The sequence below is a fragment of the Homo sapiens genome, chromosome 7 (assembly GCF_000001405.40).
Source record: "Homo sapiens chromosome 7, GRCh38.p14 Primary Assembly".
Lineage (NCBI taxonomy): Eukaryota > Metazoa > Chordata > Mammalia > Primates > Hominidae > Homo > Homo sapiens.
Window position 1 is genome coordinate 56,479,506 of NC_000007.14, and position 19,928 is coordinate 56,499,433.

At 47.5% G+C, this 19,928-nt stretch overlaps 3 long non-coding RNA genes and 1 pseudogene across 5 annotated transcripts; 3 read left to right on the forward strand and 1 right to left on the reverse strand.

Annotated features, from left to right (window-relative positions):
* Positions 1–2,599: 2,599 nt before the first annotated feature.
* On the reverse strand, positions 2,600–3,814 carry LOC100240728 (uncharacterized). The gene is made up of 2 exons (NR_108095.1): positions 3,470–3,814; positions 2,600–2,951 (listed from the first exon to the last, which is right to left on the reverse strand). It is a non-coding gene; the product is annotated as an uncharacterized LOC100240728 (long non-coding RNA).
* On the forward strand, positions 3,618–10,416 carry LOC124901640 (uncharacterized). Of its 3 annotated transcripts, none has more exons than XR_007060332.1 (4): positions 4,500–4,661; positions 7,464–7,532; positions 8,256–8,423; positions 10,151–10,416. It is a non-coding gene; the product is annotated as an uncharacterized LOC124901640 (long non-coding RNA). The 3 variants fall into 3 exon arrangements; XR_007060333.1 differs by having other exon boundaries at positions 8,256–8,360; XR_007060331.1 differs by lacking the exons at positions 4,500–4,661; positions 10,151–10,416 and adding an exon at positions 3,618–3,960 and having other exon boundaries at positions 8,256–8,999.
* On the forward strand, positions 11,102–12,132 carry RBM22P3 (RNA binding motif protein 22 pseudogene 3; annotated as a pseudogene).
* On the forward strand, positions 16,718–17,779 carry DKFZp434L192 (uncharacterized protein). Its single transcript, NR_026929.1, has one exon. It is a non-coding gene; the product is annotated as an uncharacterized protein DKFZp434L192 (long non-coding RNA).
* Positions 17,780–19,928: the final 2,149 nt, after the last annotated feature.

A 19,928-nucleotide genomic window follows, 5' to 3' on the forward strand; every position in this document is an offset into this window, starting at 1 on the left:
TCTCATGAAGGATGATGGTGACAGCAATGCTGAGAGCCACATGAAACCGAGTCCTCAGGAGGCCCTGTGAGGATGGTGTGGTTCCCATCACACTTCCCTGACAAGAGGGAATTATGATCTTCAGACTCAGGAGAAATATGGGGTTTGTTTCAAGTCCATGGAGCTCCACAGTTCTTTTGAGAGGTGAGAGCCTAGCAGGTTGACCTAGCGGATTGACAGAGGGTGGGCAGAGACTCTGTCTTGTGGTCACTTTCAGACAGCCTGTGGCCACGGGTCCCTGGTCAGCAGCAGGCCCTGTTGAATGGGAGCACTGGGCAGGCACTGTGAGGGAGGCCTGAGGTGTGGCTCCTGGAACCTCACAGCTGTTGCTCTGTCCTACAGCTACAGCCTGTCCTGCTGCTGAGCCCCATCCCAGTAGGCCAGCCACGCCCTCAAGGCCAAGAAGACCAAGCCATGAAGAATCTCAGGCCCACTGAATGCCCGGGTGGCAGGGGCAGAGTGCCTCAGGGCTCAGGGAAGTTTGGGCTGAGTGTGTGCTCTGGGAGCCAGACAGCTAGCTGCACAGGGCTCCCAGCTCCACCATGACCAGCCCTGTAACTGGGGCAGGGGACTCACTCCTGTGGTACTTGAGCATCATTGTCATATAATTAATGTGTCTGTCCAATCCTTTTCTCTTTTTATCTCTCTTCCTCTATAATCGCCATGTACTACTGATCTGTTAGTGATTGTGTTCAAATGAATAAACATATGTTAAATAGTGTGTATTGTACTTCCTCATGATTTCTTCACTATAGTGTATGACTCCACTCATACGAGGTACTTAGAATAGTCAAGTTTACAGAAACACAAAGTAGAAGAGTGGTTCCCGGGGCTACAGGAAGGTAGGTGAGGTGTTTAATGGGTACAGAGTTTTAGTTTTGCAAGAGGAAAAACACCCCCTATAAATGTGGAGGATGCTCGTAAAACCGTGTGAATGTGCTTAATTCCTTTGACCTGCACTCTTAAAAATTGTTAAAATGAAAAAAAAAATTGTTGACCAGGTGCAGTGGCTCACGCCTGTAATCCTAGCACTTAGGGAGGCGGAGGTGGGCAGATCACCTGAGGTCAGGAGTGCAAGACTAGCCTGGCCAACATGGTGAAGCCCCGTCTCTAGTAAGGATACAAAAATTAGCCAGCTATGGTGGTGCATGTCTCTAATCCCAGCTACTCGGGAGGCTGAGGCAGAAGAATTGCTTGAACCTAGGAGGTGAAGGTTGCAGTGAACCAACATTGCACCACTGCACTCCAGCCTGAGAAACAGAGCAAGACTCTGTCTCAAAAAAAGAAACAGAAATCCCAGCAACAACAAAAAAAACAGACTATAGCTATCTGCAATGGCATGAATGAATATCACAAATATAATGTATAAAAGTAAGTAGATATAAAAATATACGTACTATATAATTTTATACAAAATCCAATAAGCAGAAAAAACTGAGGTCCTGGTTTTCAGTAATACTGGAGTAGCTTGTTGAATTAACACAGATTATAATGAAGACACCTGAATAATATATTTTTTATATATATATATATATTTTTTTAATGAAGTCTCACTCTGTCACACAGGCAAGAGTGCAGTGGTGTGATCTCAGCTCACTGCAACCTCTGCCTCCTGGGTTCAAGCGATTCTCCTGCCTCAGCCTCCCAAGTAGCTGGGACTACAGGCGCACGCCACCATGCCTGGCTAATTTTTGTATTTTTAGTAGAGATGGGGTTTCACCATGTAGGCCAGTCTGGTCTTGAACTCATGACCTCATGATCCGCCCACCTCAGCCTCCCAAAGTGCTGGGATTACAGGCGTGAGCCACCGTGCCCTGCCTATATTATATATTGTTATAGAAACACATCTGTATGATACAAATATGACCTATGTGTGGGTAAGAACTGAATGAGGATTTCAGCTGTGCCCACTGTAGGGGAGATAGGTATTGAAGTTTGAATCCAGCCCAATTAAAACGGTTTGTAAACAGTAACATCGCTCTTCAAAGCTACACAACGGAATTGAGAGTCTCTATAATGATTCTTTACAGTTTTAGTACACAACTTTAAAATTCATGAGACGTGTGAGGAAACACGAAAATGAGATCCATACACAATTTAAAAAGCAGGCAGTAGAAGTGATCCTAAGATATTCAAGGTGTTCTAATTCAGGATGTTTAAAGGCAGCTATTATAAATCTGTTCATGGGGGTAAAGGAAAATATTTTAAGAGATGTGGAACCTAAGCAAAGAAATGGAAATTATGAAACAATAGGAAGATAAGGAAATTAAAAGAAATACTTTTGAGCTTATTCAAAGATTAGAAACAGAAGACAGAGCAATAGAAATTGCCCATTCTGAATAAAAGAGAGAAAAAGCTTAAAGAAAATGAAGAGTCTTAGAGACCTGTAGAGTGATTGAGTCCAAGTTGGAGAGGGGACAGAAAAATTAAATGAGGTACAAAGTAAATCACCAACTAATAGCTAAAAACTTCCAAAAATTGGTCAAACCCCCCAGTTTTTATACCCAACATGTCAACAAACCCGTCCAAAAAATATAAATAAAACCATACCAAGGCCATATTGTGATTTAGGAGACTGGCAAGGCAGAGCTTTCTATTGACTTGCTGTGATTTCTAATTTTAACTACTTAGAAGAGTGAAAAATAGGTTCTCCTTAGAGTTTCTTTTTTTTTCTTGGAGAAAAAAAAGTATTAAAGGCAGATGAGTTTCCAGCTTCCTCTTAAATTTCCAGTGTCTTACTTTGGAAATTATTTGAATTTGTTTCTTCCAAATCCTGCAGTAATACTGATGCTCCAGAAAGGCGTCCCATGGAGATTCTGCTCTTGTGCATCCATCCTGCACGGAGCTGAAGCTGTGCCTCCTCTAGTTTCATTAGCGTTTAGTCGTGGGGTACTTCGAGTTAATCTGGAAAACTAAATGTTAACATGGATTCAGGCCTGGCGCGGTAGCTCACGCCTGTAATCCCAGCACTTTGGGAGGCCGAGGTGGGTGGATCACTTGAGGTCAGGAGTTCGAGACCAGACTGGCAAAAATGGCAAAACCCCATCTGTACTAAAAATACAAAAATTAGCCAGGTGTGGTGGCAGGTGCCTGTAATTTCAGCTACTGGGAAGGGTGAGGCAGGAGAATCTCTTGAACACGGGAGGCGGAGGTTGCAGTGAGCCTGGATTCAGTCACCGCACTACAACCTGGGCTACAGAGAGAGACTCCATCTCAAAAAACGAAAAAGAAAAATGGATTCAAAGAATTATCACTGTTAAGTTCCACCAGCAAATTACTAAACGTGGTTCCAAAGGAATATTTAAAAAGGGAAATTAAGTGTTACCAAGAAAGCCCTATTTACAGCAGAAACACAGACACTGTTCGTGACCTCACTACAGAAACTTCCTTCATGTGTTGGGAGGGACCAAGGGGCTCTCTGGTCCTGCACCTGCATTAATTACTTCCAGGAGGTCCACGCTAGGACCCCAAGGCCTGGGAACCAGCCTGGGTCAGGGGCAGAGAAGTGGTGAACGTGGCTCCAAGGGGCACTCCTGAGGTGCAGAGGAGGATTTGTGACAGCCCAGAGGATAGAGGAAATGGTGGCTTTGAAAAGGCAAGTGCCAGTTTATCAGGAAACATGTATCTCCATTTCTGGCAGTGAACTGACGGTTTCAGACACTCATGAGAAAGCGTCCTACGTGGAATGCCCAGAAGTCGGAGAACTGTCAGACATCTGGCCGTTAACCACATTCCTACGCAGGGGCTACACTGCGCATGTCCGAAGGGGCGTGTCAGGGGTGGGGCGAGGAGGAGGTACCGTTCCGATGCAGAGACGGTGCCGAGGGAAGGGGCGGGGCGAGGAGAAGGGGCAGAGCCGAGGGAAGAGGCGGGGCGAGTCCAGCTCCAGGAGGAGGAGCGTTACTATGGGAACCTTGACAGGTTTGTGAGCAGCTCCCTGTCTCCTGCTGCTCCGTGAGGAATCAAACTTCTGGCACTGACGAAGCATGAAGCCAGCATCTTAGGGGGAGGTAGTGACATAATTACAAGATACGATCAGCCACCCTGGTCCCGCTGTCGCCTGGCAGGCAGGAGAGGTTTGGGAACAACCAGGCTCTCCTTGGCATGGCAGAACTGCTCTGGACACAGGGAGGTGTGGATTGGTGGGCGGGAGCTAAGCCTGGCATACTGGGAGTTGTCGTCTTTGATTAGCTTCCAGTTTTTTCATCACTGGGCGAATGGATTACAATCCCAGCCAGCATGAACAGGAGGCGGCGCGCAGTCCTGAAGGCGAAGTCCGGTTGTGCCGGCCTTGCTGTGCATGCTGGGAGCTGTATGTAGTCTCTTCACCGCTCCCGCCCTTTCAAGAGCTTCGGGACTACAATCCTAGCATGCCCCAGGCTCGGGAGCCTGGTGAAGTTCTCGGGGGGAGGAGCGAAGCGGCGCGCGCCTGGCCAGGCACGCTGGAAACGGTAGCTCTTAACGGTTCTCAGCCCGTTGGTGGCAAGGCAGCTGGACTGGAATCCCAGCAGGCGACATGCGAGGAGGAGGGCAGCCCAGGAGGGTTGGGCAGGGCAGTGTGGACCTCGCCGCTTCCACAGCGATGCTGGCTACTGATCGCAGGCACCTCCTTGCCATGGGAAGTGAGTCGGGAGGGGGACAGGAGGGGCAGGTCCAGGCTGGGCAGTGAGGAGGGCATGACGCCGCGAAGTGCACCTCGCCCTTGTCCAACTCGGACGAGTGTGGTCCTCACCCCACTTCCCGCTGCTAGGCTGGGTTCCCTCTCCCACCTGCACCTGGGTTCTTTCTGGGCATCGCGCCTCCTCCAGCCCAGGGAGCCGCCTGCTTTGGGAAGCTGCTATGGGAACTGGCCTGAGGTCCAGGCGCTGTCCATTGTGCCGCTGCCCTCTTTTCTCTCCAGCGAGAGCGCAGTGCAGCCACTATGGGGAGAAATCCGCCGCCTGGCCCGCCAGTGCACAAGTTCAAAGCTTCGCAGGGGGTGACATGGCCTGTGGCTTCGTGAAAATGTCACCCTCACCAGCACCTTTTTCACGGATGTTGAGGCGGCAGAGAAGGTCATTATTGGTTTACGCAGGAGATGCTAAAATCCGAGGAGAAAATTTCACTTCCCAGGCGTGTGTCTCTGGTGCGCCATTTTTCACCAACCCATTTGGTGGAAAGTCCACCAAATGGCTACCTAAAGATAAAGACGGTTTAGGCATTTTCATTGGCACGTCATTGGCCTCATCTCAACTGAGGCCTGACTGGGCAGTGTCTCAAAGACACAGATGGCAACCTGATATTCAAGAACAGATAGTGCTCCAGCTTTGTGGGAGCGACTTTCAAGGTGTGGACCACTTGGGGAGTCTTTGAAATTCCTTAGGCTTCAACATCTTTGCTGTGAATAGAAAGCTGATCACCCCCGGCACTCACGGCAGTACCTTTACTCTCTCGGGCTGATCTGTTGAATTTTTCTGTCTAGACAATGGAAACTTCCGGAAGCACTTCTAGTTTCGTGTACCTTCCTAATAATTGATGTCCCTAAATTCCATATGTCCTCAGGGACAGTTGCTTTGATTCTGGAATGGCGCCAGCTTTTATGCTTTTATGTCTAATCCGTAAAAACCAAGGTGTTAATCTACATGAAAATAAGACCTTGTTCATATAGCACATTCCAACAGGCTTCATTTGTGATTCCTGAGTGAGGGTTACTATAAATAAAAACCCCTAAAAACCCTGGGCATGGATATTGACACTGTTATTGTACTTTGTGAATAATTTACTCCTTCAGGATCAATTACACATGGGCTCATCAGCACCTTTGTAAATAAAGGAACAAGAACCTTGCGGCATCTATGGACGTGGCAAGATGAAGTATAGGGAGACCACAGCACATCAGCGCTTCCCTTGTTTTCAGTAGAGTCTGTGGGGTCAAGTACCTGCATTCCTCCCCCATCCCTCAATATTCTCATTCTACTCCTGAGTGTTCCCTCGTTAGGTGGGAGTTTCTAAATACACTTGTCTGCAAGTGTTGGTGGGGATGTTGTAACGTGAGGGCATCCATCATCCGTCACCTTAAAGGTGAAGGGAGAGGATTTTGTGATTTGTGTTCAAGAGGCACTGCTGTTGGGTGTGTGGCTGCAAATACACGTGATCTCAGCTGTCCCCAGCAGCTGCCTCACAAGATTGGTCCTGATGCAGCCACAGCTGCTGTTCACACAGCCAGGAGCTCCTTGCAGTTTGGTGTATTCTGCTGAGATTTGTGGCTCTGACCCTCCTCTGCTCACTCCGTTCCTGGTAGTATCTGCTCAGCTGCCTGGTTTGTTCCAGTGTTTCCTGGGAGCCTGTTGTGTAACTGCATTTCAGAGGGTCTTTGGGGATTCCACCCTCACTACACCAGTCACTCTACACTGGCCATGCACTTAGCTTCTTGTATGTGTCCTCTTCAGTGGAGCTGTGAAGAGTTCTAGTTGGGGATAGATCTCATTCTCACGTGCTCAGGCTGCTTAGAAAGCTGATCATCTCCTCTTTGGACACATGAACATTATTTCTTTTGTGTATTTTGAAGTCTGATGCTGTTTTTTGTTTTGTTTTGTTTTTTGTTTGTTTGTTTGTTTGAGACAGAGTCTCGCTCTGTCGCCCAGGCTAGGGTGCAGTGGTGGAATCTCGGCTCACTGCAAGCTCCGCCTCCCAGGTTCACGCCATCCTCCTGCCTCAGCATCCCGAGTAGCTGGGACTACAGGCGCCCACCACCACGCCCAGCTAATTTTTTGTATTTTTAGTAGAGACGGGGTTTCACCGTGTTAGCCAGGATGGTCTCGATCTCTTGACCTCATTATCTGCCCACCTCGGCCTCCTAAAGTGCTGGGATTACAGGTGTGAGCCACCGCACCCGGCCTGTTTGTTTTTAAATAAAGTGGATTCTTGCATTAACAGTCACTTTTAGATATCTTTGTGAATTTAACTCTGGCATCAACTTCCTGATGTTGGCATGCGATCCCCATTTTATAAGTGAGGAAACTGACACTCAGAGAGGTAGAGTAGCTTTATTTACTTCACACAAGCTTTTCATGAATTTCAAGTCTCAACCTAGAAGTCTTCCTCTAAGGTATGATTATGGCATATTCCAGTTTGTGTTTCTCTGCCAGCATCCCGAAGGGGTCCACATCTCATTAGGACTCCATTTTCTTCTTAATGACAGGAAACTTGCAGAAACAGGCCTTTGGTTGGGGAGAGCACTTGCTGGCACTTGGCCTTCCCTGTCCTCTGCCTTCCTCCTGTCAGGGCGTAGATTTGATTTGAGGTGATTTGAGGGAGCTGGAGCAGCGGTAGATCCTGACCAGCACTCACCTGGAACGCTTGTTGATATGTAAAGATAACACCCACTCTCTTTATGAGGTGTGATTTTTTTTGTTCTAATTATTCCTCTGGGCCTTCTCTTCCAGGTTTGTGCTATGTACTAACATGCAATACAAATACTGATGAAAACAAAACTATTGCCCTCCTACCAAATGGTAACAATGCTTATATTTTTCCTCTTTTTCTAATTATAAAATAAATGCATGCTATTTTAAGAATGTCAGATCATAAAGATATTTATGTAGTGAAAGTCTCCCATGTCTTCCTCTTCCTTCCAAACTCACTCCCTTCTTAGAAGAAATTATTATAGCTTGGTTTTTATTCTTCTGGATGTTTTCTATAAATTTATAAATACATATAAAGTTGGCCGGGTACAGTGGCTCAGGCCGGTAATCCCAACACTTTGGGAGGCTGAGTGGGGAGGGTCCCTTGAGTTCAGGAGTTTGAGGCTGCAGTGAGCTGTGATCACGCCACTGCACTCCCATCTGGGTGACAGAGTGAGACCCTGCCTCCAGAAAAAAAAAAAAAAGAGATAAATACATGTACAGTTTTTGAACACATATTATATTATACTATATTGTTTTTATTTTGCTGTTTCACAAGCAATGTATCACTTACATTATTCCAAATAAGTGCATGAGATTCTAACTCTCTATTTCTAATGTATTCCAAAGAATGGGTATACAATATTTGTTTCACTGTTTATTTTTTGATAGAAATTTACATTGTTTCTAGTTTCATCATTGTTAAAAAATGCAGCAATAAGATTCTTGTACATAATTTATTACACTGATAATTAACTGTTCAGTTTATCTTGCCTTCTTTTAGTCAGAGAATATGTCATGAGTTTAATATTTATTTTATGATTTGTTTCATAGGGAAATTAATGTTATGACTGGATAAATTCGAGGTTGTCTATCTCCGTTTTCTGATGGAAAAGCGTGGAGTTCAGAAGCATTGCTCGCTCCTTCAGTTTCTAACAAGTCAGTAATCTCATAGCAATTTAAATTTAAATGTTTGAATTACCTCTCCTTCCCTGGTTCAGAGTAAGTATGTTGTTTTTCTATTTGTAAAACTTCTGACTCTGGGTTTTTTCAGTTGGGCTTTAGAGAGGGCAACTCCCATATTGCTGTTATATCTATTTCTCTTTGGCATCTGGCTGCATCTGATAAAGATTATAGAATTAGATCTGGTTCTGTATATATTTTGGGACCAAAAATTCAAAGTAATCAACTCAAGATAGGAGTCTACAACTTTAATTCTTAATAAAAGATTTCCTTTGATTTCCCCAAATCTTTATGATTCCTAGAAGAAATTCACCCATGGGTGAAGCATGTGGCTCTGTTGAATAAAGTTTTGTTGGGGATTTCCACATTGAGTTTCATGAGGCATACTATTTTACAGGGTTTTTTTTTTTTTTTTTTTTTTTTTGGTACTTCCTTTCTCTGATTCTATTGGAGAGTAATACTAGCTTCCTAAAATATATTGGGAAATGTTCCCTCTTCTACTTTTGGACAATATTAAACTCATAATGACAAGTTTTCTTGTGAAAATGTTCTGAAAAAAATGTAGGGTGGGCCAGTCATGGTGGCTCACACCTGTAATTCCAGCACTTTGGGAGGCCAAGGCAGGCGGATCACAAGGTCAGGAGTTCGTGACCAGCCTGACTGACATAGTGAAACCCTGTCTCTACTAAAAATACAAAAATTAGCCGGGGATGGTGGTGCGTGCCTGTAATCCCAGCTACTCAGGAGGCTGAGGCAGGAGAATCACTTGAACCCAGGAGACAGAGGTTGCAGTGAGCCGAGATTGCGCCACTGCACCATAGCCTGGGTGACATAGCAAGACTCCGTCTCAAAAAAAAAAAAAAAAAAAGGTGTAGAGTGCCCTTTTCCCTTTTGTACTGGGTAATATTATTTATCTTGATTGGTATTTACCCATATACCTGCCAATGGTTCAGTGAGCGCCCGTCTTCTACTCGCCAATCTTACCCCTACTTCAGCCACTCCTCCCTACTTTCTGGTACTCAGCCATATGTTTTTCTCTCCTCACATTCTCAACCCTGTCTCCTTAACATGTGGACTTCCATGCTCTTCCTATATCCTCCCACCCTGCACTGCCAGTAGGCTCTGCAGGCTCTAAGCTGGGGCAGCAACACAGTCCCCTCTCTTGATTTCAGCCTCTAGACCTCAGTTCTGTGCTCCTTGCAGATGCTTCTAGTGTTTGGAGACATCTGGCTCATGTGGTTGGTCTGGCTTCCTGTGTGTTTGGTGCCAGAGGGAGTCTGTTTCTTGCTCTTCCACCATACAGAGAGGGCAAAGCTCTGAATTGATTTTGAAATCAATTCTTGGTTATCTCTTTTGGACTGAAATAAATTGACTATTAATTTGTGATGACATAAATATTGTAGCTTAGTTTGTGGTAGTTATAATTTCATTTCTATTTATTGTTTTACAGGCCATGCCACCATGCGCAGCTAATGTTTTATTGTTTGGCAGAGGCATGGTCTCACTCTGTGGCCCAGGCTAGTTTCCAATTCCTAGGTTCATGCAGTTCTCCCAACTTGGCCTCCCAAAGCCCTGGGATTATAGGCATGAGCCACTGTGCTTGGCCAATAGTTAAAATTTTAGATTATTATGTACAGTACTGTGATTAGCCATATTTAACTTATTCACAGACAAGGCTTTAATAAAAATTACTTCAGGTTACTATATTTTTCTTTAATTTTTTTCAAATTAGTTTTCTTTATTTTTCTCTAATCTTTTTGTGCTAGCCTCAGTCACCTTTACCCTGAGTTTCCATCCTGGTCAGCAGAGGCAGCTCCATGGATGATGGCCTGTGGCTCTGTGTACTTGGAGCTCTTACCAAGTAAGACTTTGTGACCAGGAGGCCTCTTTTCAGGACAAATCATCTGCATGTAAAACAAAGAGCCTTTCCAGGCCAGGAGTACTTTGCCAAAATCTTTTTGCTTTTGAGGTTTCTTTTTGTTGATTTTTTGTTGTTGTGGTTGTTGTTGTTGTTGTTTTTTGAGACAGGGTCTCACTCTGTTGCCCAGGCTGGAGTGCAGTGGGGTGATCTTGGCTCACTGCAACCTCTGCCTGCAGGGTTCAAATGACTCTCTTGCCTCAGCCTCTCAAGTAGCTGGGTTTACAGGTTCACACCACCATGCCCCAATAATTTTTGTATGGGGTTTTGCCATGTTGGGGTTTGCCATGTTGGCCAGGCTGGTCTTGAACTCCTGACCTCAGGTGATCTGCCTGCCTTGGCCTCCCAAAGTACTGGGATTAAGGGCATTAGCCACCATGCCCGGTGAGTTTTTGAGTCTTTATCCATCATTGGACACAATAAATATCCAGACACACAGATGTTTCCCAACATGTCTATGCGTTTAGAGATTGGACCTTTCTTTTTCTAGTGATCCTGGTTCTTGACCTTCTCACTTAAGGTTTTGTCATCTCCCAGCAGCAGACACAAGGTCTCCTTAAGCCCTGTGAGTGTAGAGGGAGGGTCTTTGAAAATCATCGAGTATACACTGTATTTCAAGGTGCGTTCACGTTTCTCTGTCTCTTCCAGGCCAGGTCTTGGAGAGACCAGGAAGCCAAGAGTTTCCTCCAAGAATGGAGATTCCTTGGGAGCGATGTTTGCCTTGAGTAAAGAAAGATGAATCACATGTGGTCAAAGGCAGTTGTCCAGGGTCTCAAGAAAAGAGCCAGAAAGAGGAGCTGGGGCTGCTGGGATTGTGGGGGTCCTCTCTCCCACCTAAAAAGCTACTACTGCCTGCTGACCCTCTGAAGAGGAGACCCCTCTGGGCTCCAGCACCTAAAACAGACAAAACTGGGAGGATGGTTCTCTCTTCTGTGTCACACATGTCCTAGAGAAAACCTGTGTATCTAAATGACCAAAGAAAACGATGAGAAAAAATGCAAAATCTGTGCCAGGTCATTCAGTGTCTGGCTAGGGCTGTGTGGTGCACATGCATTCCAAGACTGAAGGGTGCTGAGCCTGCAGAAAATGTCTGTCAGACCTGCCTCTCACACCTGGAGTATGACTGCCCATCCAGGTTCATGATGCAGAACTGTCTTTAAAAGGCCACAGCAGATATGGAGAGAGGGATTTCTAACCCTAATAGAATATGACCAGCTGTCCCGCTGGGGAAAGCCGCATGCACCAGTGATGTGCTGCCTAAACTGGCCCAGACCACACTCTACTGCCTAATGAATAAGCCCCACATTTGCTCTTTATGGGTAAAGGGAGAGGGTGAGAGAGGAGAGGAGTGTCTGCACAGACATGAGAAGCCTGCAGATCCAGATGACCCCCTTGCTGATCAGAATATTAAAAATCGATATGCGGAAACAATGACCCCATAGCAGATAAGCTTCTAGAGCAGGCTTCAACCATGCTTCATCTGGACCCACTGGAAGAGAAGTGTGCCCGCCATCTATGTTGATGGTCTGGGGGATACCATTTCTGAGACAGATTTAAGAAATGGTCTCTACCTGTTGGCGAGATCCGGATGGTCACTGTTGTGCAGAGACAGCAGTGTGCTCTCATCAGCTTTCCACAGGGCAGGCTATGGAAATGGCCACTGAGAAGTCCTTTTGTAAATTGATTGTCCATGGCTGCAGACTCACCGTCAAATGGGGGAAGATTCCAAGCCCTCAAGGAAAAGGAGAAAGAGAAGCACAGAACGGCAGACTCTGGGATCCTGCCAGAGCCTATTTCAGGGCCGCCAGGAGGTCCTCCTCCTGCTGCAGCTCTGGTCCCCACCTTGGAGCCTCCTTCGAAGGAGTGAGACTACCTTTCTGACTTTTTCTGACCATAGACACCTTTTCTGACTATTTCTGTCCTTTGGACCTGCCGAGGACAGCAGCCCCAGGGACCCGGGCTCCTGGGCCCATTCTTCACCAGCTTCTACTTGATCGTGCAATTTGAAGTCATTCTTGTGCAGTGGAAACAGGGCCCCAGGACAACCCGATAGATCAATGGTCTCTGGCCTGTGCCCCACTGATGGTTGGATGGTGGCCACAGGGTGCTGGAGTCCAGCCATCGCTGCTTCCTTGAGTTGAAGAGGTTGGAGGCTGGTCCACTTGCTCCTGTCCTGCCCTCAGCGATGTGGATGGTTGCTCTTTGAGCCTGGTAACATCACTGGCTTGGCCCTGCCAGGCATGCCCTGCCTTGTGGGGGCCCTGTGTACCCACACACTGCTTTAAGGGGCTTGCCCTTCCCTGGGCCAAATTCTAGTTTTGGCCAGTGCCCCAGGAAGCTCAGTCCCCTCTTTTGTTATCTTGGCTATTTCTCTGGCACCCATGGCTCCCATGGGTCCCTTTTCTCCCAGGGCTTGGGCTGAGCTTGGCATCTGTAGGTCTAGGATGTTTGCCCTGTGAGGGAGGCTCTGTCACGCAAGTGGGCAGGCATGGGGACATGTGACAGGCTGCTGGCTGGCTGGGGCTCTGCAGATGCCACAATCCCCCTCCCCTCCAGCAGCCTCTGAGTCCAGCTTCCGCATTGACACTGATTTCACCCAGCTCAGGAGCTGTCTGGGGTTGTCTGGGTGCTGTCTTGACTCCTTTAAGGCTGTGCTGCTCAGTGGCCCCTGAGAAAGGTCAGATCCAGGTGCCACCATGGAAGGGGAGTGTCTACGGCCCTACTGCTGGGTTTTCAGTGGGCTGGGCAAGGCCTGGTTGTTGGGGCCCTGAGGGGGTTCGGGGCCAGGGCCTGTCCTATTGTCCTGGGGGTGTCCAGGGAAGATGTAGAAAGAACAGGGGTTTGGAATCCCTGCTCAAAGCTGCATTGTGGACACCATGAGCCCCGGATGTCCAGGTCCATGGGGAGTTTGGGAGAGAATTCCAACACAGAAATCGCCAAAAATCCCATGGTCTATCCTGAGATAGGAACAGGCTTGCCACATCTTGAGCCGCTGGGCCCCCAGAGAGTGGCCTGTTGCCCTGGGCTCCGTGGAATTCTTCTTGTGCTGCTGGGACTTGGCCTCAGGTCAGCTTCTGGGCTTCTGGAGCTGGGCTAGTGGACCAGGGAGGGCCAACCCGTCCCCCTTGGGGAGGGCCTCCATGCTGAGGGATGCCCGCAGAGGCCTGGGTGCGAGAGACCCTCTCTCCAGGACCAGGGCCTTCCTAGGGATCTTTGTATGTTTAGCTGAATGGAAAGCAAACTTGGTCCACTTCTCCCCCAAGCCCATCTGACCTTTGTACGGCTGGGCCCCAGGTATCTGGGTCCTTGGAGTTTTGGGGTCTCTAGTAACCCACCTGGTCTGACACTGAGGAAACACCTACAGGCTGCTGATCCCACAGTGAGGGGTGTGTGCCACCTGGGGTATGGGCGCTCGTGAATGAGGGTCCCTGCTGATCCCACAGTGAGGGGTGTTTCCTGCCTGGGGTATGGGAACTTGTGAGTGGGGACCCCTGCTGCACTCTGTCCCTGTTGGTGCTCGCAGCTATGGGTGTGGGCTGGCACAGACAGGACCGAGCCCTCCAGGGGCTTCCAGGGTTCTTGTAGGGCAGGAGGGGAAGGGTGTGGTGGGGGGCTTGGAGGGGTCTTGCCCTCATCCCCTGCCCTGTTACTGGGGTGAGTCCAGCACCTGCCCTGGGGCCCAGCTGGCCTGTTTTTAGAAGCTTCTTAGAGAAGGAAGAGGAGAAGGAGAAGGAAGGCCTGGGGAGCAGGGATGGAGGGTCCTGGGCACTCCCCACTATTTACTGTCTTAGATGGTGACTCAGGAGGGGACCTGGTGCTAGAGACCACCTTGGGGTCAGTGGTCATAGTGCATCTTTCTGAGCTCAGCCATGGAGGCCTCAAAGTGCTTCACAATCACATCATCGTCCATAGCCCAGGTATGGGACAGTGCATCTTAGGAAAGCTCCCACAGGACAAACAGGAGAGCTTCAGGAGAGGGTCTAGGTTTGGGGCTGGGCATCAGGCCAGGAGGGGTCTCCTGGGAGGGGTCTGTGACTTCACCTTATTTCCGCCATGGGCACCTCACACTAGGCAGTGCTGGGTCCTTTCTAGATACCCCTGGGGTCCAGCTCTGCACAGGAGGCCACTAATGGGGGAAGTTCCAGTCAGGGAAGAGCTTGCCACACTCCTGCCTTTCATCTGAGTTGTGTCAGGGGTAGGTTCGGTTTCCAGGAGGACTCATGGTGCCCTGTCCAGTCCACCAGGCCTGGCTTGGTTTGGCCGTCCCTCTGGGTTAAAGCAGAGGGTCCTGTGGACAGTGTGAGCACTGCCTTCGGGCCAGGTTTGGTGTGCTTGTGTGCTTCCCCAGCACCCTTGGGCACATGGGGACAGGGTTCTGTGCACTTTCAATGCCGCATGTGCCCTGGCTATGAGCATGCACTTGCCCTGCAGAAGGCAGATGTACCAGAGCCTGAGGATGAGCTTGTGATGAGCTTGACGTAGGGGTTTGTGGGAACAGCAGGCATGGGAGGACCTGGCCCTTCACGGTGGAGGGCTGGTGGCCTGAGCAGGGCCTACTGGGGCCTCAGTCTGTGGTGCTGGGGGCCCCCTCTGCATGGGATGAGACCTCCCCCAGGAGGCTGGATCAGATAAGGTCCTGCAGCTCCTTATGGGGGTGTTCTCATATCCATCAAATGTGACCCCTGAAAGAGGGGGCTCCCTGAGTGCTCTCCCAAGATGAGTCCTGGCCCAGTCTGCCCAGGATGCTGGCCCTGAGTCCCAGCCCCAGCCGTGTGATGCCCCCTCTCAGGCAGGGCATGGTTTGTGTGCCCTGCAGGGATCTGCCTCTGCCTCCTGTGCAGAGGAGGGGAGCTGGGTCCTTCTGGAGGAGCCAGACTCCTGGGCAGGGTCCCTGGACTGGGTCTCCTGTGCACACTTGTCCCATCAAGCAAGCACTGTAGGAGTCAGTTTAAGGTGGCAATCTGGGTGCACAACATTTGCTTGTCTTCAAGGAAGGAGCAGAGGTGTTCAGAATCCCCTGGACTGCCCTGAAAACCTCACTCTTCCAGGCCCCTCTGCAGACCCTTCCCAAGGCCAGATCTCTAGGCAGTAGGCTGGGCTGTCACCCTCTTCTCTGAGACCCTACCCCTGTCCTGAGACCTCCCCACTGCCCCTCAGATGCCCCATCCCTGCGGATTGCCCACCTCCCCTGGCACCCTCCATGCCCCACACGCCTTACTTGATGCTGCAGCGCTCTCTGAACATGGCATGGCTTGTGAAGGTGTGGCTCACATCTAGGTCATTCTGGTGCATGTTCAGAGGACATCTTGGCCTGCTCCATTTTCTATAGAGCAGGGCCAAGCCTCAGAACAGACACAAGAGTCACTGTCAAAACTGCTGTCATAAAACAGACATTCTGGAAGGGAAGGAGTCTTTTTCTGCAGATACTTCATTTCCAAAGCCAGGAAAGTCATCAGCACACAGCTCACCTGTGTTGCCCATGCCACTGTCTGCCCAGGATGTGTGACTGACCCCTTCCGCCCCTTTGGGGTTGACTTTCCCTCCATCTGGGTAGCTGGGCTTCTGACACAGTCTGGCCTATGCATCCTGCTCTAGCTGGGAGTGGAAGGGCCAGACCTGGTGTTTCCCTGGGTTCTTGGCCTTTGTCTTCTCGACATTCAGTAGGAGTGACCGTGCTGGGCCCCAGACCTCTGTGAGGATTCCTTTTTAGACCCAATGAGACATTTGTGGACAGAAGATGCTCTGGTGAGACAGACCTTAGGGTGACTCTAAAGGGGATCTGAGCCTAAGGATTCTGGAAGTTTCCAGTCTTTGGCTCCACAGTTCCTCAGGAGAGGTTCAGTCTGCCTAGGACTGGGCCTCCCTTTTCACGAAGAGTGGGCAAGAGCTCAGGTTGTGAACTCTGATCTGGATTTATTCCTTCCTATGGGATGTCCAGAAGGTGTTCCTGTTCCTGGCTTAGAAGCAGACCATGCCAAGGCATCAGATTCCTCCCAGCAAGGTGATGCTTGCAGGGATGGGCAGGAGGGCTAGGGACCAGGCCTGTTGTCCTTTCAGTGAGGAAAGTGTGTCCTGCCCTGTCTGAGAGGCAGGCAGCACCAGGAGGCAAAAATGGGCTCCTGTCCTAAACCCTGAAGAGCAGTCATGGGGGACCCTCACTCACAGCTGTGCCTTCTTGCTGTTCCTAGATTTATTCCAGTTAAGCATTTATAGGCATTTATCTGTGTGTCTGATGCCCTGACGTTTTTGCTGTAGGTAAGAAGTGATGGAGTGAGCTGAGCTGCCAGGCTTCCTGGAGTGATTCTTGGATGCTGGGTCACGTGGTTAGGGGCCCTGATGGGACTGAACTGGAAGGAACCAGAATAGGACAGAACCAAGCCCCTGATTAGTGGGCACTGGTGGCCTGGCCTCATGACCACAGGACACACTGTTCCCAGGGCACAGACACCCTGGGCTTTGGTTGGGTCTTGGCCTCCAGGTAGGGCCCTGTTGGGCAGCGGGCAGCAACTCCTGAGACACTACTGTGATTCTTGGTGGTGGCTGTGGTAAAAAACCTGCAGGGCTAGAGTTTGGGGTGAGATTCAGCAGTAACTGTGGCCTCTCCTAGTGACAGTATGTCACTCCCACTCCCAGCACGCATGCCCACAGGCCACGGCCTCCACATCACAAACCCCCCACCAAGTTGCCCATCTATGGAGCAGCTCCCATACGGCAGGGTCAGGCTCTTACCTCCACCTCCAGGGCACAGACAGGGGGAGCTCTGTCTCACTGTAAGGCAATGAGGAGAGTTGAGGGCCCAGACCAGGCTAGGGGCCATCCCCTTTCCCGAGCAGGCCTCAGGGAAGGACCAGCCCCATTCCCATCTGACCTAGGTCTTAGCCCAGGAGCCTGCATAGGGAAGAAAGGACAGACAGGGCCTCCTTACTGGCTGACACTCAGGAGGGGCTGGGGCAAGAGAGCAGAGGGAGCGCAGGGCCAGGCAGGGGCTGCTGAGGATCCATGGGAGCTCAGGGTGCACAAGGGGGCTGCCCTTCCTGGGCTGCAGGCAGCATCCCCTATGGGAGCTGAGAAAGTCCAATCCTGAGATGGGACAGTGCTGCCCAGGGGTGTGTGGCTGGGCCCTGACAACAGTCTCCCCAAAAGTGACCACATCACCAGGCTCAGTTCCAGGAAGGCTGAGAAGTGCCCAGTACACTGAGGATGCACCTCAGTTACATAAAATAAATGAAACTGGAGTACTAACGTACAGTTTAAAGGTTATAGTTACTATTTTTATATGATATACTAGTAATTTTTGAATAGGGTAAACTTTAGGTGTTTTGACACCAAAAGAAAACTACATGAGTTCATGCATGTGTTAAATTGCTTTACTGTAGTAATCATTTACATGTATATGTATATATGAATATAATTATGGGCTCATTAAATTTAAATATTATAAATAGGTGACAAAGAATAAAGTTAACTGGAAAACTGTGTCATTAGACTTGATTTTGCCTAAATGACAAACTGAAGGTACCTCCTAAGTATTAATATTTGTACATCACATAAATTTCATATATTGGAAATATGTTTACAGAAAAGGAATTATAAATTTTAATACACACAAAATGATGCAGTAAATGCAAAATGGTGGAAAGAGATGAAAATCTGATTAATCAGAGTGGTTAATTCTTAGATATAATTAATGATGTGTTAGGTATAATTTCAAGACATATACATGTAGATTTAATACCAAAGAGTTCACTGTGTACACAGAGATTAATTAAATGAAAAATTGATACATTTACAATGATATTAATCGATTTTAAAATGATCACAGAAATCAACTGTCTGGTATAGAAAAAATAAGGAGTGTTAAGTAATTATTAGAAAGTTTGAAACTAAAAAAAAAAAAAAAAAGCCAGGGGCGATGACTTATGCCTGTAATCCCAGCAATTTGGGAGGCCGAGGCAGGCAGATCATGAGGTCGGAAGATCGAGACCATCCTGGCCAACATAGCGAAACCCAGTCTCTACTAAAAATACAAAAATTAGCTGGGCATGGTGGTGCGTGCCTGTAGTCTTAGATACTCGGGAGGCTGAGGCAGGAGAATTGCTTGAACCTGGGAGGCAGAGGTTGCAGTGAGCCAAGATTGCACCACTGCACTCCAGCCTGGTGACAGAGCTAGACTTTGTCTCAAAATAAATAAATAAATAAATAAATAAATAAATAAATAAATAAACAAACAAATAAAGTTCGAAACTTTATTAGAAAGTTAATCAAGTGGAAAAGTGATCAGCATTTTGGAGCACTAAACACAGGATGGACAAAATTTTCTAATACCAAGAAAATCATTTAATATTGCAAGGTTTTAAATCTAAATTAGTGTCTTTAACTTCACAAAGGCAGAAATCCTATAAGCAATGTTTCTTGAACACTGTAAAATGACAATAAAAATTAAAGTAACAAGTAACATGTAGCCACATGCAAATTTCCTTTCAGATTGTTGTATTTTTTTTTTTTTTATTTTAGGTGAATTTTTATTTCAACAGGTTTTTGGGGAAGAGGTTGTGTTTGGTTACAGGGATAAGTTTTTCAGTGGTGATTTCTGAGATATTGGTGCACCCATCACCCAAGCAGTGTACAGTGTACTCAATGCATAGTCTTTTATCCCTAAGATTGTTTTAAATGACATCTAGATTAAACCGAACATTCAAACTGAGATTACTTTTACAGCACTAGAGAAATGCTAAGGAGGAAGCTTCATGACTGAAACCAAAAGACCTGAATTTATATATTTGACTCTACTAACTAACATTCTTTATTTTATAAAAGAACAGCAATTCTGCCCACGTACAGGAGTTATGCATTAAAGTGGAGCATGATCACTTCAGACATTTGTCTGAAACATAAAAATTCTTCCAAGTATTAAGAAAATATTTAAACTTCACAGATAATGTTAGTGTATAATACATGGGCATTGAATAAGAAAAATTAAAATTTCTCATGTGGCACTGTTCTACACAAAATATTTATGTAAACATTTTTACTCATAACACGTGTGTACATTTGATGTTTTAGTACAGAATAACATATTCTCAAAGGTCATTTAATGTAGTAACTTAAAAATCTTTAAATTTTACAAGAATTCTAAAACTGCCCAGCAGAACGGATAGAAAAATATGGGAACTTCCCACGACTAGAAGTGAATCAGGAGGCAAATTAACAGTCATGAAAGCGAGAAGTTAGAGCCGCCTTCAGAGACAGCTCTGATTGCAGGGCTGATTACACAGACCTTAAACCTGTGAGGATCGTCCACTCTGCCCCTTGGAATAACAGAGAAAATTGCTAACCAGGGCCATCCCAAATGTGAGACTGCAAGGTAAGAACTAAATTGTAAATTATGAAGCACACAAAATAAGCTACCCAAAAAAGGGAAAGAAGAAATTATACATCACATAAACTTCATAGATTGGAAACATATTTAAAATAATTCAGTAACACAAATGGGGAAAGAGAATATCAAAATAATTTTGAAAACACATGAAGTTCTAAAGCGGGCACTGGGGGCTGTGGCTCATGCCTGTACTCCCAAGCACTTTGCGGCAGCCAAGGCAAGAAGATCACTTGAGGCCAGGAGTTTG